This window comes from Homo sapiens, chromosome 19 (genome assembly GCF_000001405.40).
Source record: "Homo sapiens chromosome 19, GRCh38.p14 Primary Assembly".
Taxonomy (NCBI): Eukaryota; Metazoa; Chordata; class Mammalia; order Primates; family Hominidae; genus Homo; species Homo sapiens.
The window spans coordinates 38602211-38615311 of record NC_000019.10 but is presented as its reverse complement, the minus strand read 5'-3'; the positions used below and the strand labels follow the sequence as shown (position 1 = coordinate 38615311).

General features: G+C 50.7%; 1 protein-coding gene across 3 annotated transcripts in view, besides 3 other annotated features; it reads left to right on the top strand.

Moving 5' to 3' along the window:
• Positions 1–13101, top strand: part of MAP4K1 (mitogen-activated protein kinase kinase kinase kinase 1) — a 30313-nt gene that overhangs the window by 2642 nt on the left and 14570 nt on the right. For 2 of the 3 annotated variants that reach the window (NM_001042600.3, NM_007181.6), the window contains exons 5-19: positions 867–922; positions 1020–1067; positions 1227–1269; positions 1360–1432; positions 2570–2701; positions 4007–4069; positions 4180–4261; positions 5287–5403; positions 5638–5716; positions 7142–7200; positions 7279–7322; positions 7401–7448; positions 9097–9139; positions 9582–9744; positions 9821–9903. In NM_001042600.3, the coding sequence (NP_001036065.1) occupies positions 867–922; positions 1020–1067; positions 1227–1269; positions 1360–1432; positions 2570–2701; positions 4007–4069; positions 4180–4261; positions 5287–5403; positions 5638–5716; positions 7142–7200; positions 7279–7322; positions 7401–7448; positions 9097–9139; positions 9582–9744; positions 9821–9903 (1133 nt within the window). Of the gene's footprint in view, positions 1–866; positions 923–1019; positions 1068–1226; positions 1270–1359; positions 1433–2569; positions 2702–4006; positions 4070–4179; positions 4262–5286; positions 5404–5637; positions 5717–7141; positions 7201–7278; positions 7323–7400; positions 7449–8296; positions 8417–9096; positions 9140–9581; positions 9745–9820; positions 9904–13101 lie in introns of all 3 variants that reach the window. The other variant, XM_011526404.2, reaches the window with a different exon arrangement.
• Positions 2113–2613: an enhancer, noted in NCBI's record as "H3K4me1 hESC enhancer chr19:39103339-39103839 (GRCh37/hg19 assembly coordinates)". NCBI's record gives its function as "activates a minimal SCP1, AML or CMV promoter by ChIP-STARR-seq in naive H9 embryonic stem cells {active_cell/tissue: H9 hESC(naive)}" and the evidence as "EXISTENCE:reporter gene assay evidence [ECO:0000049][PMID:30033119]".
• Positions 6841–7341: an enhancer, noted in NCBI's record as "H3K4me1 hESC enhancer chr19:39098611-39099111 (GRCh37/hg19 assembly coordinates)". NCBI's record gives its function as "activates a minimal SCP1, AML or CMV promoter by ChIP-STARR-seq in primed H9 embryonic stem cells {active_cell/tissue: H9 hESC(primed)}" and the evidence as "EXISTENCE:reporter gene assay evidence [ECO:0000049][PMID:30033119]".
• Positions 7342–7842: an enhancer, noted in NCBI's record as "H3K4me1 hESC enhancer chr19:39098110-39098610 (GRCh37/hg19 assembly coordinates)". NCBI's record gives its function as "activates a minimal SCP1, AML or CMV promoter by ChIP-STARR-seq in primed H9 embryonic stem cells {active_cell/tissue: H9 hESC(primed)}" and the evidence as "EXISTENCE:reporter gene assay evidence [ECO:0000049][PMID:30033119]".

The window sequence follows — 13101 nt, the reverse complement described above, 5'->3', positions numbered from 1 at the left end:
AGGAGAAGCCCAGACTCCTCATCAGGGTCCACCCCATGCTGGCCAATCTCACCTCCTCCCACTTTCCTCCTCCCCCTCCACTCCACCCCACCCCCTTTGCTGCTTTCCAGACCCACCAGGGACTATCCCACCTGGGGCCCTGCACTTGCTGTGGCTGGTCCCACTCAGAGTGGGAGCCCTCATGTCTTCACCCACTGTCACCTTCAGAGAGCAGCCCTGACTGACCACCTCTGTGAAATGTCATAGCTCCTCCTACGCGCACCTTTCTTGCTTTATGTTTCTTCTTGCTGTCTATCAGCGTCTGAGGAACTATATCATATTCTACTTATTTATCTTGCTTACTTTCTTTCTTTCCTTCTTTCCTTTTTTTTTTTTTTTTTTTTTTTTTTTGAGACAGAGCCTCCTTCTATTGCCCAGGCTGGAGTGCAGTGGTACGATCTCGGCTCATTGCAACCTCCACCTCCTGGGTTCAAACGATTCTCCTGCCTCAGCCTCCTGAGTACTTGGGATTACAGGCATGCACCACTATGCCTGGCTAATTTTTGTATTTTTTAGTAGAGATGGGGTTTCACCATGTTGGCCAGGCTGGTCTCGGACTCCTGACCTCAAGTGATCCACCCACCTTGGCCTCCCAAAGTGCTGGGATTATAGGCATGAGCCACTGCGCCAGGCCTATTGGCCTCTTTTATTTGCATTGCTGCCTCTTTCTGTCACTGACCACCCCACCATCTCCCCCTCCCACTGGTCCTATCCTATTTCCCCTCTCCCTATGGCACCCTCTTAGCTGGTGTGGGGGGGCAGGACTCCCCAGCCCAGGTTCCCTGGCTCCCATCCAATGCCTGGCCTGGCCGGGGTGACCTTTGCAGTGACAGGCTCCCTGTCAGAGCTCCAGATTAGCTATGTCTGCCGGGAAGTGCTCCAGGTAAGGAGAGGCCTGGGGATTCTGGGGATGGGAGGGGAGGGTGGCCCCACTCCAGCCCCCAAACACTCACTGTCCCCTTGTCCACCCTTCTCCCCAGGGACTGGCCTATTTGCACTCACAGAAGAAGATACACAGGGACATCAAGGTGGTCTGGGGGTGTAGGGGTGCTGTTGGGGGGTGGGGCCCAGGAGATGGGAGTGGCATTTCAGGGGCTCAGGGATCAGGGTAGTTTGAGCTGGCGGAGTGGGCTAGCACTGGGCTGGGGAGAGTCTCTGCAGCCTCCCATATCCCCTCTCATTCCCAGGGAGCTAACATCCTCATCAATGATGCTGGGGAGGTCAGATTGGGTGAGTAAGGCTGGGGGTTGAGCAGGGGGGCTGACTGGGGGGCCGGAAGCGCAGTGGACCCCAGATCACTATGTCTCCCTCTGCTTCCAGCTGACTTTGGCATCTCGGCCCAGATTGGGGCTACACTGGCCAGACGCCTCTCTTTCATTGGGACACCCTACTGGTGAGTGGCGCCCAGCGGGCAGCTAGGGGTGGAGTGGGGGTCAGTGGTTTTTCCTACCCTGGTTCCCCGGGATCCTCTTTCCTGGCTCCGTTCCCCTGCCTCGTCCTTTCTCCTTGGAAGATTCTTTCATTCTCTCTGGGTGTCGCTTGAGTTTTCCATTTTCCTCTCTCTTTGTGCCCTTTTCTGGCCATTGCTCTCGGTGTTTGTGTTGATTTTTATCTTGATTTCTCTGTCCCTCCATATCCATTTCTGTCTTTTTCCTCTAGCTCAGTTTGCAGTGCTCTCTGTCTCTTTGTTTCTGTCTCTCTCACTCTCTGTCTCTGCCTCTCTGTCTTTTCATTTTGTTTTGTTTTTAGAGACAGGGTCTCACTCTGTGGCCCAGGCTGGATTGCAGTGGCATAGTCACGGCTCACTGCAGCCTAGAACTCCTGGGCTCAGGAGATCCTCCCACCTCAGCCTCCCAAGTAGCTGGGACCACAGGTGTGCACCATGACACCTGGCTAATTTTTAAAATTTGTGTAGAGATGGTGTTGTTTTTTTTTTTTTTTCTTTTTCGTTCTTTTTTTTTTTCTTGAGACGGAGTTTTGCTCTGTTGCCCAGGCTGGAGTGCAGTGGCATGGTCTCAGCTCACTGCAACCTTCACCTCCCAGGTTCAAGCAATTCTCCTGCCTCAGCCACCAAGTAGCTGGGATTACAGACGCCTGCCACCACGCCCGGCTAATTTTTGTACTTTTAGTAGAGACGGGCTTTCACCATGTTGGTCAGGCTGGTCTCGAACTCCTCACCTCAGGTGATCTGTCCGCCTTGACCTCCCAAAGTGCTGGAATTACAGGCAAAAGCCACCGTGCCCAGCCGAGATAGGGTCTTGATAAGTTGCCCAGGCTGGTCTCAAACTCCTGGGCCTAAGCCATTCTCCTTGCTCAGCCTCCCAAAGTGCTGGGATTACAGGCGTGAGCCATCGCGCCCCGTCTGCATCTCTGTCTTCATCTGCCTGTGTCTGTCTTTACTCCTGTCCCTCTGTCTCTCCATCTGACTCTCTGTGTGCTGCGTCTCCCCTCAACTCCTTCTCCTTCTCTGCCCCTCCTTCCCTTCCTGTCCCCATGCCACCTCTGGCTCTCTGAGCGTGTCTGCCCCCAGGATGGCTCCGGAAGTGGCAGCTGTGGCCCTGAAGGGAGGATACAATGAGCTGTGTGACATCTGGTCCCTGGGCATCACGGCCATCGAACTGGCCGAGCTACAGCCACCGCTCTTTGATGTGCACCCTCTCAGGTAGGCAGGCGTGGGGTCCCCAGGCCCAGAGATCCTGTCTAGCCCTGGCCCAAAGCCCACCCTCAGCTTCCGCCTTCCATCCCAGGAACCTCCAATTCAGGGATCACCACTTGAGCCTACCTTTGCACGTGCTGCAGCTCTATTTTTTAAATTTAATTTAATATTTTATTTTATTTTATTTTTTATTTTTTAAGACAGAGTCTTGCTCTGTTGCCCAGGCTGGAGTGCAGTGGCACAATCTTGGCTCACTGCAACCTCCATCTCCTGGGTTCAAGCTATTTTCCTGCCTCAGCCTCCCGAGTAGCTGAGGCTGCAGGTGTGCACCACCACGCCCGGCTAATTTTTGTATTTTTAGTAGAGACGGGGTTTCAACATGTTGGCCAGGGTAGTCTCGAACTCCTGACCTCAGGTTATCTGCCCATCTTGGCTTCCGGAGGTGCTGGGATTACAGGCGTGAACCACTGCACCCAGCCTATTTATTTATTTTTATTTTTATTTATTTATTTATTTTTGAGATGGAGTCCCACTCTTGTTGCCCAGGCTGGAGTGCAGTGGCAAGATCTCAGCTCACTGCAACCTCTGCCTCCAGGGTTCAAGTGATTCTACCACCTCAACCTCCCAAGTGTGGGATTACAGGTGCACGCCACCATGCCTGGCTAATTTTTGTATGTTTTGGTAGAGACGGGGTTTCACTATGTTGACCAGGCTGGTCTTGAACTCCTGACCTCAAGTGATCCACTTGCCTTGGCCTCCCAAAATGCTGGGATTAAAGGTGTGAGCCACCACGCCCAGACATTTTTTAAATTAATTAATTAATTCTTATTATTTTTAGAGACAGGATCTGGCTCTGTCACCCAGGCTGGAGTGCAGCGGCACGATCGTAGTTCACTTCAGCCTTGAATGCCGGGGCTCAAATGATCCTCCTGCCTTAGCCTCTCACATAGCTGGTCCTACAGACCCATATTGCCACACCCAGCTATTTAAAAAAAAAATTTTTTTTTTGTCTCACTATGTTGCCCCAGCTGGTCTCCAACTCCTGGGCTCAAGCTATCCTCCCGCCTTGGCCTCCCAAAGTGTTGGGATTACGGGCGTGAACCACCACACCTGGCCTTGCCATAGCTCTATCACTTCATAAATGGCTTCCCTTAGGAGAGGCACCCTGGTGCACTGTAAAACCTGAACCTCACTTCCATGCTGTTTCTCACTTTGCCCTCTGCTGACCACAATGCTACTAGGAACCCCTCAAGCCATGAGGTCTGGCCCCCTTGAGGGTCTGAACCCCATGTCCTTTCCCTACTATTCTAGAGTTCTCTTCCTCATGACCAAGAGTGGCTACCAGCCTCCCCGACTGAAGGAAAAAGGCAAATGGTACGAGAGAGTAACAGGAGGGAGGGTGAGAGAGGGCAGGGCTGGGGCTGGGTGGCCTGATGGGAGGGTTTCTGGTCCCCTCATCCAGAACCTGGCTTCTTCTTCCCAAGGTCGGCTGCCTTCCACAACTTCATCAAAGTCACTCTGACTAAGAGTCCCAAGAAACGACCCAGCGCCACCAAGATGCTCAGTGTAACCCTCCCTTCCCCAAGATCCTCAGCCTAGGATTCCCTGGGGCCTTCCACAACTCCCGAGGACATGGATAACTTTGTTCCATGGAGTCCCCGTGGCCTTTCCAAAGTCCCTAGTGCCTCAGAATTTCCCAGGACCACCCCCGACCACCAGAGACCCTCCGGGTTATACCCCAGACCTTTCCCAAATACCCCGAGTTGCCGGAACTGACAAATTCCCAAAGGACTCAAGACTTGTCCTGAGTGTCCTCTTGAATCCCCAGGGAACCACAGTCTCTTCCAAGACAACTCTGGAATTCTCCTAGCCCCGCTCTGAGAAACCTAAATTCTTCTAATTCCTAAAAATGTCTTAGACTCCCACCGGTCGGCTGGGCATGGTGGCTCACACCTGTAATCCCAGCACTTTGGGAGGCTGAGGTAGATGGATCACTTGAGGTCAGGAGTTTGAGACCAGCCTGGCCAACATGGTGAAACCCCGTCTCTACTAAAAATACAAAAATTAGCTGAGCATAGTGGCGCACGCCTGTAATCCCAGCTACTTGGGAGGCTGAGGTTGGAGAATTGCTTAAACCCAGGAGGCGGAGGCTATAGTGAGCCAGGATCGTGCCACTGCACTCCAGTCTGAGTGACAGGGCGAGACCCTGTCTCAAAAAAAAAAAAAAAAAAAAAAAAAAAAAAATTAGCTGGGCGTGGTGGCACGAGCCTGTAATCACAGCCACTCGGGAGGCTGAGGCACGAGAATCAATTAAGCCCAGGAGGTGGAGGTTGCAGTGAGCCTGGATTGTGCCACTGCACTCCAGCCTGGGTGACAGAGTGAGACTCTGTCTTAAAACAAACAAACAAAAAAGAATACCCCAGGCCTCTGAGTTCCCTGGATTTCCCCGCCCTCTGCCTTCACTGGCACCTTCTCCCCAGCTAGATTCCTTTAGTCCAGTCCCCAAGGCCCTGTACCAGTCCTCTCTGTCCACACCAGCCCTCTCTGTCCACACCATCCCTCTGGATACGGACACCTCTTCCCTCCGCCAGCATCAACTGGTATCCCAGCCTGGGCTGAATCGAGGCCTGATCCTGGATCTTCTTGACAAACTGAAGAATCCCGGGAAAGGACCCTCCATTGGGGACATTGAGGATGAGGAGCCCGAGGTGAGAGCCTTGGCTGACAAGAGCACTGGGGACCTCTCGGTCTTTCTCAGGCTGTGCCTGCTGCCAGCAGTGCCTTCCTGCTGCCTCTCTTAGGGGGAAAACAGGGAGGGAGGATGGGGAGCTTGGTAAAAGGCTGTGTGCCCAGAGGGTTACAGGAGAGAGCAGATGGACCCCGGGCAGGGTAGGAGGCTGCTTGGGGGTCTTGAGCCCTGACGTGGCTGCCCCTCTGCCCAGCTACCCCCTGCTATCCCTCGGCGGATCAGATCCACCCACCGCTCCAGCTCTCTGGGGATCCCAGATGCAGACTGCTGTCGTGAGTAGAGAATCCTTATGTTTGGGGACACCTGACCCTATAATAGACCTAAGAGACCACCTTCCCCTACCATCAGGCCTCCAGAGACCCTCAGCATCATCTGATCCTATAAGAGACCCCAGACAATCTCATCAGCACCTGAACTACAAAATGACCGTAGAGGCCAGGCGTGGTGACTCATGCCTGTAATCCCAGCACTTTGGGAGGCCAAGGTGGGCAGATCATCTGAGGTCAGGATGTCAAGACGAGCCTGGGTAACATGGTGAAACCCTGTCTCTGCTAAAAATACAAAAATTAGCCGGGTGTGGTAGTGCACGCCTGTAGTCCAAGCTACTTGGGAGGCTGAGGTAGGAGGATTGCCTGAACCTGGGAGGTGGAGGTTGCAGTGAACCAAGATTGCGCCACTGCACTCCAGTCCAGGTGACAAGAGCGAGACCGTCTCAAGGACAAAACAAAACAAAACAAAAACAAAAGCAAAATGACCATAGAGTTCCCAGGGAGACCTCAGAAATCTCATCAGAACCTCAATACCCAAACGGATCCTGAAAACACCCTGTAACTACATTGAGCCCCCAACTTCCTGATCCCAAAACTTATTTATTTGTTTATTTTTTTGTGACAGGATCTTGCTGTGTCACCCAGGCTGGAGTGCAGTGGTGTGATCACAGCTCACTTAAGCCTCAAACTTCTTGGGCTCAAGGAATCCTCCCACCTCAGCCTCCTGAGTAGCTGGGACTACAGGCTTATTCACCACGCGTGGCTAATGTTTTTTTTTTTTTTTTTTTTTTTTTTTTTTGAGACGGAGTTTCACTCTGTCGCCCAGGCTGGAGTGCGATGGTGCGATCTTGGCTCACCAAAACCTCTGCCTCCTGGGTTCAAGCGATTCTCCTGCCTCAGCCTCCAGAGTAATTGGGATTACAGGCGCATACTACCATGCCCGGCTAATTTTTGTATTTTTTTTTAGTAGAGACGGGGCTTCACCATGTTGACCAGGCTGATCATGAACTCCTGACCTCAGGTGATCTGCCTGCCTCACCTCCCAAAGTGCTGGGATTACAGGCGTGAGCCACTGTGCCCAGTCACTTGGCTAATTTTTAATCATTTTTTGTAGGGATGGGTTCTTGCCCAGTTGTCCAGGCAGGTCTCAAACTCTGGGTTCCAGCGATCTGCCCACCTCAGCCTTCCAAAGTACTGGGATTATAGGCGTGAGCCACTGCACCTGGTCTTGATCCCAAACTTGACCCCCAAATGAAGTCCCTGTAATCCAAGACCCCTTTCCCCAAGGGACAGTTCCCTGAGATCATTTGCAGTCCCCAAGATCCTGACTGCAACCCCCCCGCCAATTCTACTCTTTCTGTTCTTAAACCCATCTCGTTACCCCTTGCCCCCAGCTCACAGCAGGTTATCTTCCCCCACCCACCCTAGGGCGGCACATGGAGTTCAGGAAGCTCCGAGGAATGGAGACCAGACCCCCAGCCAACACCGTGAGATGCTGTCCCCCCACTCCCCACCACACCGCCTGCTTCCCTGAGGCCACTGCTGACCCTTTTCCTACCCCACAGGCTCGCCTACAGCCTCCTCGAGACCTCAGGAGCAGCAGCCCCAGGTCAGGGACCCCAGGGAGGATGGGGAGGGGGCTGGAATGTGGACAAGGCCCCCAAGGCTCATACCTGTCACCCTTCAGGAAGCAACTGTCAGAGTCGTCTGACGATGACTATGACGACGTGGACATGTAAGTGAGGCCCTGCCTGCAGCTCCACAGGCCCCACCTCAGCCCCCACCTTCCTACAATCCCCTGATGTGGCCTTTCCTCCACTCCTGACCCCGCTGCACCCCTGCCTTTCTTCTAGCCCCGAGCCCTGAGCCCTGATTAGACCCTCAATGCAGCCCCTCTGCCCAGCTACCTAGGCCCTGTTCCCTAACCCCACCTCCCTTAACCCTTCACCTCCAACCCCTGACCCCCAACCTGATCCCAGCTCCAGCTCCCACTTTCCTTCTTTCCTTCCACCTTCTTCTTTTTTTTTTTTTTTTTTTTTGAGATGGAGTCTCACTCTGTGGCCCAGGCTGGAGTGCAGTGACGTAGTCTCAGCTCACTACAACCTCGGCTCCCCGGGTTCAAGCGATTCTCCTGTCTCAGCCTCCTGAGTAGCTGGGATTACAGGCACCTGCCACCATGCCCAGCTAATTTTTTGTATTTTTAGTAGAGATGGGGTTTCACCATGTTGGCCAGGCTGGTTTCAAACTCCTGACCTCATGATCCGCCCATCTCAGCCTCCCAAAGTGCTGCGATTACAGGTGTGAGCCACTGCACTTGGCCTCCTTCCATCTTCTTATACAATCTTTTGACTTGACCCTCAGCGTCAGCCCCCCACCTGCTCTCCACCCCAGAGCTGACCCCAGTTCCTTCTAGAATGTGCTGCTGCTCCAATCTCTGACTTGACCCCACCTATCCTCCATGACCCTGCACCCTCAGCCACATCCCAGTCTCAAACTCCTCCCGAATGTCACTCTCACCCCAGACCCACCCTCCAGCCTTCAGCCCCAGCCCTCAGCTTTTCCTATCTTTTTGCCCGCCCTCAGGCTGAACCTTGGCACCTGGAAATCTCCCAAAGACCAGATACTGAGCCCCAGATCCAGACCCAACAGTCAGCCCAGGCCCCCATACTCCCCAGCCCACAGGCCGAGTCAGGCTCCATCCAGGTGCGCGCACTCACTTCACCCATCACGTGCGACAGCCTGTGTGTGGCGCCAGCACAGGGAGAGCAGGGCCACGGCGCTGATGTCACCTGTGTTACTAGGTGGTGTAAAGGTGCAAAGCCGTGGTGCACTGTCAGCACTCCACCTCCAAGAGTTGCTGTTACTGTTATTAGTCTTTTTTTTGGAAACAGGCTAATCATTTTTTTGTAGGATGGGGTCTTGCCATGTTGTCCAGGCTGGTCTCAAACTCATGATTTGTTTTGGCACCAAGGCTAAGTGCAGGAGTGCAATGATGGCTTACTGCAGCCTCAACCTCCCAGGCTCAAGCAATCCTCCCACCTCAGCCTCCTGAGTAGCTGCGGTCACAGGCGCACCTGCCACGCCTGGCTAATTTTTAATTTTTTTCTGGAGACAAGGTCTTGCTATGCTGCCCAGGCTAGTCTCGAATTCCTGGGCTCAAGCCATCCTGCCCTGGCCTCCCAAAGCACTGCGATTACAGGCATGAGCCACTATGTCCAGCCTGGCTATTAATCCTTTAATCCTCTGCTCCAGGCAGAACCAGTCATCCCTTAATCCTCCTCACCTCAGACCCCAGTCCCGGGCCTCCAGCCCAGAACCATGCCATCTTCCCCGAGTCCTTGTTCCCCAGCCCCCCAGCTATTTAACCCATCTTTGTGTTTCAGCCCCACCCCTGCAGAGGACACACCTCCTCCACTTCCCCCCAAGGTAAGGCCCTGGGCCAGAGCTGGGAGGCTGGGGCCTCAGGGCCACTGGGGGCCAGGAGGCCAGGTCCTTAGATGCTGGGATACTGGGCTCTCCAGGGCAGGGAATTGGGGAGACCAGGATGATGGCTACATTGGGATCTGGAAGTGGCATCCCTCAACCTCAGGGTCGGATTCAAAATATTTAGCCTCTTAGACACTGGTCAGTAGCTGGTCCTAGGAAGCCCCTGCTATATATCCAGCATTAACCCATTAGTTTCTGAAGTGTGTTGATGTCCAGGCTGGGGATGTCAGGGGAAGGCTGGAGGGGGCACAAGATGTTGTCGGGGGGGTGGGTCAGAGCCACAGCTGTTAGTTCTGGTGGAGGCAGGGACTTGAGTTGCAAAAGGGTGCCCTCTCTGAGATCATCTGATGTATTTCCCCACGCTCCATTCCCGTCTCCAAAGCCCAAGTTCCGTTCTCCATCAGACGAGGGTCCTGGGAGCATGGGGGATGATGGGCAGCTGAGCCCGGGGGTGCTGGTCCGGTGTGCCAGTGGGCCCCCACCAAACAGCCCCCGTCCTGGGCCTCCCCCATCCACCAGCAGCCCCCACCTCACCGCCCATTCAGGTAATGGGACAGGCTAGGGTGGAGGGCGGGAGGGTTGGGGGTTCTTGGGGGCTGATTTTCTCCTAACCCCTCTCAGAACCCTCACTCTGGAACCCACCCTCCCGGGAGCTTGACAAGCCCCCACTTCTGCCCCCCAAGAAGGAAAAGATGAAGAGAAAGGTGAGGTTCAGCTCTGCTGAGGACTTACACCTCTGGACGGGGCTGGGGATGCCTGGTGGGGTGGGGAGGGGGTGGCAGGACTGACAGTAACAACAGGTGACATTTGTTGAGCGCTTCTCTGTGCCCTACACTTATCTCCTATCATTACATGGCATAAAGCTTCACAGAGTGAAGAAGATATCACAGAGATGTTATCCCCCATTTCACAAATGGGGAAATTGAAGCACAGAGAGGGTAAGTGGCTTACCCAAGGTCATATAAATACCTTTGAGGAGGCAGGCTGAGGCAGGATTGTTGTTTCTGCTTTTTTTTTTTTTTTTTTAAAGACGGAGTTTTGCTTGTTGCCCAGGCTAGAGTACAGTGGCGCGATCTTAGCTCACTACAACCTCCGCCTCCCTAGTTCAAGTGATTCTCCTGCCTCAGCCTCCGGAGTAGCTGAGATTACAGGCAATGCAGCACCATGCCCGGCTAATTTTGTATTTTTAGTAGAGGTGGGGTTTCACCATGTTGGTTAGGCTCGTCTTGAACTCCTGACCTCAGGTGATCCACCTGCCTCGGCCTCCCAAAGTGCTGGGATTACAGGCATGAGCCACCGCGTCTGGCATGCTTTTTTTTTTTTGAGACAGAGTCTCACTGTGTCACCCAGGCTGGAGTGCAGTGGCGCGATCTCGGCTCACTGCAAGCTCCGCCTCCCAGGTTCACACCATTCTCCTGCCTCAGCCTCCCGAGTAGCTGGGACTACAGGTGCCCGCCACCAGGCCCGGCTAATTTTTTGTATTTTTAGTAGAGACGGGGTTTCACCGTGTTAGCCAGGATGGTCTCGATCTCCTGACCTTGTGATCTGCCCGCCTCGGCCTCCCAAAGTGCTGGGATTACAGTCATGAGCCACCGCGCCCAGCTACTAAAAATTTAAAAAATTAGCTGGGCGTGGTGGCACACACCTATGGTCCCAGCTACTTGGGAAGCTGAGGTGGGAGGATTGCTTGAGTCCAGAAGTTAGAGTCTTTTGACAAGATCCATCAAAACCTCCATGAGTCACTACCACATATGCAGTTGCCCAAAGAGCCAAGATCTCAAGAAATTTTACCTCTCATAAATGGAGATGTACAAAAAGAACATCTCTTTATTCAGGAAGTTTCAGTGTTTTTACGTACATGCATAATGCCTACACACGTAGTCAGTGTTGTGATAATGCACCTTTGTGGCATCAAATTTGCCAACAAATGCATAAAATGAATTAGAACTCTCTAAAGTCTTTTTTTTTTTTTTTTTTTTTTTTTGAGATAGTATCTCGCTCTGTCGCCCAGGCTGCTGGAGTGCAGTGGCGCGATCATGGCTCACTGCAGCCTTGACCTCGGAGACTCAAGCAATCCATGCACCTCACCCTCCCTAGTAGCGCTTGGCTAATTTTTTTTTTTTTTTTCTGAGATGGAGTCTCACTCTGTCGCCCAGGCTGGAGTGCAGTGGTGCTATCTTGGCTCACTGCAACCTCTGCCTCCCCAGTCTAAGTGATCCTCCTGCCTCAGCCTCCTAAGTAGCCATGACTACAGGCGCCCACCACCACGCCCAGCTAATTTTTGTATTTTTAGTAGAGACGGAGTTTTGCCATGTTGGCCAGGCTGGTCTCAAACTCCTGACCTCAAGTTATCTGCCAGCCTCGGCCTCCCAAAGTGCTGGCATTACAGGCGTGAGCCACCGCGCCCGGCCCAGCTTGGCTAATTTTTAAAAAAATGTTTTATAGAGGCAGGGTCTCACTATGTTGCCCAAGCTGGTCCTGAACTCCTGGGCTTAAGTGATCCTCCCACCTCGGCCTCCCAAACTGGTGGGATTACAGCCGTGCCTGGTTGGCTACCGGCTAAAAGTATGTATAATTTATACCTCCAGCACTGGAAATGATTCAAAGATGAAATGCATAGCATAATTAATCATACATATATACATATACATATATACACACACATATACATGTATATGTGTGTATATATGTATACGTGTATATATATGTATATGCATATATATGTACATGTGTATATATGTATATGTGTGTATATATGTATATGTGTATATATGTATATGCGTATATATGTACATGTGTATATATGTATACATGTATGTGTGTGTGTATATGTATGTGTATATATGTATATGCGTATATATGTACATGTGTATATATATGTGTATATGTATATGTGTATATATGTATGTGTATATATGTATATGCGTATATATGTACATGTGTATATATGTATACATGTATATGTGTGTATATATGTATATGCGTATATATGTACATGTGTATATATGTACATGTGTATATATGTACATGTGTATATATGTATATGTGTATATGTATATGCGTATATATGTACATGTGTATATATGTATACATGTATATGTGTGTATATATGTATATGTATATATGTATATGCGTATATATGTGCATGTGTATATGTGTGTATATATGTATGTGTATATATGTATATGCGTATATGTGTACATGTGTGTATATATGTACATGTGTATATAAGTATATATGTACATGTGTATATATGTATATGTGTATATATGTATATGCGTATATATGTACATGTGTATATATGTATATATGTATGTGTGTATATATGTATATGTGTATATATGTATATGCGTATATATGTACATGTGTATATATGTATACATGTATATGTGTGTATATATGTATACATGTATATGTGTGTATATATGTATATGCGTATATATGTACATGTGTATATATGTATATATGTATAGGTGTGTATATATATGTATATGTGTATATATATGTATATGCGTATATATGTACATGTGTATATATATGTATATATGTATATGTGTGTATATATATGTATATGTGTATATATGTATATGCGTATATATGTACACGTGTATATATGTATATATGTATATGTGTGTATATATGTATATGTGTGTATATATGTATGTGTGTGTGTATATATATGTGTGTGTGTGTGTGTGTGTCTATATATATATGTATATGTGTATATATATATATGCTGGCCAGGCACAGTGGCTCATGCCTGTAATCCCAGCACTTTGGGAGACCAAGGCAGACGCATCACCTGAGGTCAGGAGTTCGAGACCAGCCTGGCCAACATGGCGAAACCCTGTCTCTACTAAAATACAAAAATTAGCCAGGCGTGGTGTTGTGTGCCAGTAATC